Source organism: Homo sapiens, chromosome 5 (assembly GCF_000001405.40).
Source record: "Homo sapiens chromosome 5, GRCh38.p14 Primary Assembly".
Taxonomy (NCBI): Eukaryota; Metazoa; Chordata; class Mammalia; order Primates; family Hominidae; genus Homo; species Homo sapiens.
Genome location: NC_000005.10, coordinates 157110391 through 157116390, shown reverse-complemented (window position 1 = coordinate 157116390; position 6000 = coordinate 157110391).

Sequence of the window (6000 nt, the reverse complement as noted above, 5' to 3'; positions counted from 1 at the left end):
TACTCGAAAGACATTTAGTTACTCAGGCAGGAGCAGCATCAATTTCCCTTAGAAGTTACTTAATGGATAAGGCTGGGTGCGGTGGCTCACACCTGTAATCCCAGCACTTTGGGAGGCTGAGGTGGGAGGATTGCTTGAATCCTGGAGCTCAAGATCAGCTTGGGCAACAAAGTGAGACCCCTTCTGTACAAAAATAAAAATAACAAACAGGGTGTGGTAGCTCATGCCTGTGGTCCCAGCTGCTCAGGAGGCTGAATAGGGAAGATAAGTATTTATCTTGCTCCATGACACTGCCAGTATTACTACCATCAGACTTTTTAATTTTTTATAAAACAATGGATATGTAGATGTCACATTATGGCTTTAAGGTTAAACTATTGTTTAATGGAAAAATATAACAGAATAAAGAACATTACATAGCATAAATTTATAGTTTGTAAGTACTTATAAACTGTAAGTATTGAGCTTAAGCCCAGGAGTTTGAGGCTACAGTAAGTAATGCTTGCACTACTGCACTTCAGCATGGGTGACAGAGAGAGACTCTGTCACTAAAATAATTTTTAAAAAATTACTTGCTGGATAAATGTTGTGATAGCTCAGAATGCTGACTTGTCCTTCCTGGGCCACTGTATTCTATATTGGAAGGGGCTTTAAGCTGGCCTTGCACTCACTTGAGTGTGACCTCAAGCTTAATCTCTCTGGCATCCATTCATGGTTACTAAATAAAAAACTCTCTATAAACACAGGAGCTCTTTATCATCTCTTCAGGGTTGTGAAGAGCATGTCCTTGTAACTTAAAAAACGCTGCATTAGTAAAATGTCATTTTTAGGTAAGAAAAAAACCATATATACTTGGAGGAGAAAGTTTCTTTCCCCATCTCCTGCCTCTTCCCTTTTTGTGTAAGGGGTCTCTAGTGGATGTTTGTTTTTGTTGTCCAACTTCTGTCTCTCCTCCTGAAATGCACTGCAGTTTTTATTTAGGGGAATCACTCTTCTCTCATTTCAGAACATGAAGTGTGGGGAGGTGACCCAGGCCTAAGCCTATTAATGCTTTTTGACCCTTTGGGGACAGTGATTTTTCAGGAATGAGTCTGTGACTCAGACCCAGACTTGGGCCTTTGAAAGAGTATAAATCCCTTAACCAATAGGGGAGTGATTCACACAGATGTGTGCTCTGTGGGTGCAAGAGAGGGGCACTGTGTAGAATCTGAGAAAAGAGACAGCCCTGGAGGCAACTGAATGTTAACATCAGTCAGAAACTAGGTTCTTGGTGACCTCTCTGAGAGCCACTGAATCAAGCCTTGCCTGAACCTGGATTTTTCCATAATGTCAGTTAATAAATTCACTTTATAGTTGAAGCCAGCTTGAGTTGGGTTTTCTCTCATTGGCAGCATAATAATGTATGGAGTCTTTGGTAAGAGAGTTTTGTTGGCATATGGGTGCATCAAAATCAATATAAGAACACGCCATAGTCATGCTGTGAGAGGTAGTCAATAGCAAAGGGGAAATTTATTTATCTTTGTAAACACGTTATTCTGAAGACCCTGAAAAACCTGAAGTTTCTTCCAGGTATGCCCAGGATCTTGGTGGTCTGACGTAGCCCTCTTAGTGCTGGGACCTGGTGAGGAGGGCAAAAGTGTTGAAAGTTAACTTAAGCTGGGCCCAGTAGCTCACACCTATAATCCCAGCACTTTGGGAGGCTGAGATGGGCAGATCACTTGAACCCAGGAGTTCAAGACCAGCCTGGGCAACACAGTGAGATTCCCATCTCTACAAAAAAAAAAAAAAAAAGAATCTGAAAGAAGACTCATTAAGTTGAAAGTGGCTATTTCATGGTACTGAGATTATGACAACATTTGTTTTATTTATTTATTTTTTAATTCGTATTTTTCAAAATTTTCTGCAGTGAATATGATTTATATAATTTTTTAAAAAGGTTTTTAAAGTACTGTACAAACACACAAGGTGACAGTACCCTTCATGGGAACTCACGTGGCTAGTTACAATCTGGAAGTCAGAACATCTGGCTCACAATTGCTTAATTTAACCTCTTACCCTTAATATTCAACCTGTTTCTTCCTTTGCAAAATTTTGAACTAATCTCAGTTAGGTCTATGTAACCTGAGATGTGATTTAACCAAGTTAATTATCAACTCAATTTAAGTACATATAGGGTCCCCACCTTAAGTGGTCATTGTGGTTACTCCCCAGTATCTACTCCACTGCACTTCCCAATTGTGTAGGGAAGATTCTAGTTGGACTGAGATTTTCCGGATGCTGCCATCTAAATAACCCATATTATCCTGTCTCCTGATCTGGCTCTAACTTCCATTTTATGAACTTTTGCATAATTAGAGTTACACTCTATGCACACTGTGCCTGGCCCAGTGAGTTCATCTAATGGAGTCTATGTAGCTGTAATAAAAAAATGAGGACATTCGGCCAGGCGCGGTGGCTCACGCCTGTAATCCCAGCACTTTGGGAGGCCAAGGCGGGCGGATCATGAGGTCAGAAGATCGAGACCATCCTGGCTAACACGATGAAACCCAGTCTCTACTAAAAATACAAAAAACTAGCCGGGCGTGGTGGCAGGCACCTGTAGTCCCAGCTACTCGGGAGGCTGAGGCTGGAGAATGGCATGAATCTGGGAGGCAGAGCTTGCAGTGAGCCGAGATCGCGCCATTGCACTCCAGCCTGGGGACAGAGCGAAAAAATAAAAAAGAATGAGGACATTCTACATGAGCTGAAACAAAAGATTTTAGGCTGGGCGCGGTTGCTCATGCCTGTAATCCCAGAACTTTGGGAGGCCGAGGTAGTTGGATCACTTAAGGTCAGGAGTTCGAGACCAGCCTGGTCAACATGGTGAAACCTTGTCCCTACTAAAAATACAAAAAATTTGCTGGGCATGGTGGCTCGTGTTTGTAATCCCAGCTACTCAGGAGGCTGAGGCAGGAGAACTGCTTGAGGCAGAGTTTACAGTGAACCGAGTTTGCACCATTGTGCTCTGACCTGGGTGATGGAGCAAGACTTCGTCTCAAAAAAAAAAAAAAAAAATTTAAATACATTTAAAAAAGAAGGTTGCATGCTGTGGAGCAACCAGACAATTGTGATGAAATGTGAAGCACAAGGCACCAGCTGTGACGTGTTTTTGCCAAGAAGTCAAACCACGTTCCAACTAAACCTCTAGAGCAAACTTTCATTTTCAGCAAATTCGAAGAAAAGAGGAATAATGTAAATGACCCCACAGGGAAACAGACAAACCCTGAATGTGGAGCATTTCACAGGACAAAACCTGGTTTGTATAACTGGTTTGTATAACCAATGGCAAGGGGGTGGAGGGCAGACTGTCTTCGATTAAAAGAGACTTGAGGGACATAGCAAACAAATGCAATGCTGGGACTTGTTTGGATCTGGATTTAAACAAACTGATTGAAAAAAGACATTTTTGAGATAATCAGGGAGATTTGGCTATAGACTGAAGTACTAGGTGCTTCTAAGGCATCATTAAATTTGTTATGTGCGATAATGATATTATGATTATATTAGCAGAATGTCCATTTTTGTTTGTTGGTTGGTTTGTTTTGAGACGAAATTTTGCGCTTGTTGTCCAGGCTGGAATGCAGTGGCACAATCTCGGCTCACTGCAACCTCTGCCTCCCTGGTTCAAGCGATTCTCCTGCCTCAGCCTCCCAAGTAGCTGCGATTACAGGCACCCACCACCATGCCTGGCTAATTTTTTGTATTTTTAGTAGAGATGGGGTTTTCACCGTGTTAGCCAGGCTGGTCTCGATCTTCTGACCTCAGGTGATCCACCTGCCTCGGCCTCCCAAAGTGCTGGGATTACAGCCGTGAGTCACCACACCCGGCTTCAGAATGCCCATTTTTTAAAAAGGAAGATTGCACACTAAAGTACGTAAAAGTGAAATAGCACGATGTCTGGGATTCGTTTAAAAATATTTCAGCAGACTCGGCATGGTGGCTCACACCTGTAATCCCAGCACTTTGGGAGGCTGAGGCAGGAGGATCCCTTGAGCCCAGGAGTTTGAGACCAGCCTGGGTAACCTAGTGAGACCCTTGTCTCTAAAAATAAATTAAAACAAATTTAAAAAAAAATAAAGGGCCAGGTGCGGCGGCTCCTGCCTGTAATCAGCAATTTGGAATGCTGGGACGGGCAGATCACCTGAGGTCAGGAATTTGAGACCAGCCTGGCCAACATGGTAAAACCCTGTCTCTACTAAAAATACAAAAATTAACCGGGCATGGTGACAGGTGCCTATAATCCCAGCTACTTGGGAGGCTGAGGGGAGGCAGAGGTTGCAGTAAGCCGAGATAGCACCATTGCACTCCAGCCTGAGAGACAAGAGTGAAACTCCATCTCAAAAAATAAATAAATAAATAAATAAAAATAAAATAAATAAAATAAATAAAATTTTAAAAATAAATATTTCAGCAAATAACAATAGGAAAATGCAAGTTTCAAAAAAGGTATATGGTATTTTGTCTAAGAAAAGAGAGTATGAGAATATATATTTTATTTTCTTGGGTTTGCATTGGGAGTATACACAAGAAACTTATGAAAATGAAAACCTGGTCGGGTGCAGTGGCTCAAGCCTGTAATCCCAGCACTTTGGGAGGCTGAAGTGGGCAGATTGCAAGGTCAGGAGTTCGAGATCAGCCTGACCAACATGGTGAAAACCCATCTCTACTAAAAATACAAAAATTAGCTGGGCACGGTGGCAGGTGCCTATAATCTCAGCTACTCAGGAGGCTGAGGCAGGAGAATCGCTTGAACTTGGGAGTCGCAGGTTGCAGTGAGCTGAGATCGTGACGCTGCACTCCAGCCTGGGTGACAGGGCGAGACTCTATGTCAAAAAAAAAAAAAAAAGAAAACCTATAGCATAGGTGGGAGAAATGGGGGTAAACATGGAAGGATGGGATCATGGGATCAAGGCTTCTTGAGCTTTTTATATTCCTTTTACTTTTTAACTATTTGAATGTATTATCTAAAGTTTTTAAGAAAATAAACAGGAAATAAAAGTTAAGTGAACATGAAAATGTTCAGAACCAGCTCCCTACACACACAAGAGAGTTAAAGGAGATCTCTAGACCCCTTCATATCTAGACTTTAATGAACTAATAAATTGTTAATGTTTTATAAAGCTGGTCTCAGTAGCAATTCTAGAAATGAGCAGAAAACAAAGTGGTAAAAACAAAACATCGCTGGGCACGGTGGCTCATGCCTGTAATCCCAGCATTTTGAGAGGCCGAGGCAGGTAGATCACCTGAGGTCAGAAGTTCGAGACCAGCCTGACCAATATGGTGAAACCCTGTCTCTACTAAAAATACAAAAATTAGCCGGGCATGGTGGTGTGCGCTCTTAGTCCCAGCTACTTGGGAGGCTGAGACAGGAGAATTGCTTGAACACAGGAGGCGGAGTTTGCAGTGAGCCGAGATCGCGCCACTGCACTCCAGCCTGGGCGACAGAGCAAGACTCTGTCTCAAAACAAAAACAAAAACAAAACAAAACAAAACACAGAAACTGAGGGCTGATGCTTTTAAGAGCCTTGACCAAGTTCATGCTGCTAATAAAAATAACCCCAGACCCCATATTTAATCTATTCTACCTTATGCTTGAATATGGTCATTTGCTGGTTATTAGTTATGTGGGAAGACAAACATTAAATTAATAAAACATAATTTATAGTGGAAAAAATCTGTCACTTAGGGGGCTTATGCTCTCATTCTAAATCACCAATCATGTGCCTTTCGGCAAATCAATTTTCTGAAGTCTCAGATTCCTTGTCTATAAAATGAGAAATTGGCCGGGCGCGGTGGCTATGCCTGTAAACCCAGCACTTTGGGAGGCCGAGGCGGGTGGATCGCCTGAGGTCGGGAGTTCAAGAACAGCCTGACCAACATGGAGAAACCCCGTCTCTACTAAAAATACAAAATTATCCGGGGTGGTGGCACATGCCTGTAATCCCAGCTACTCAGGAGGCT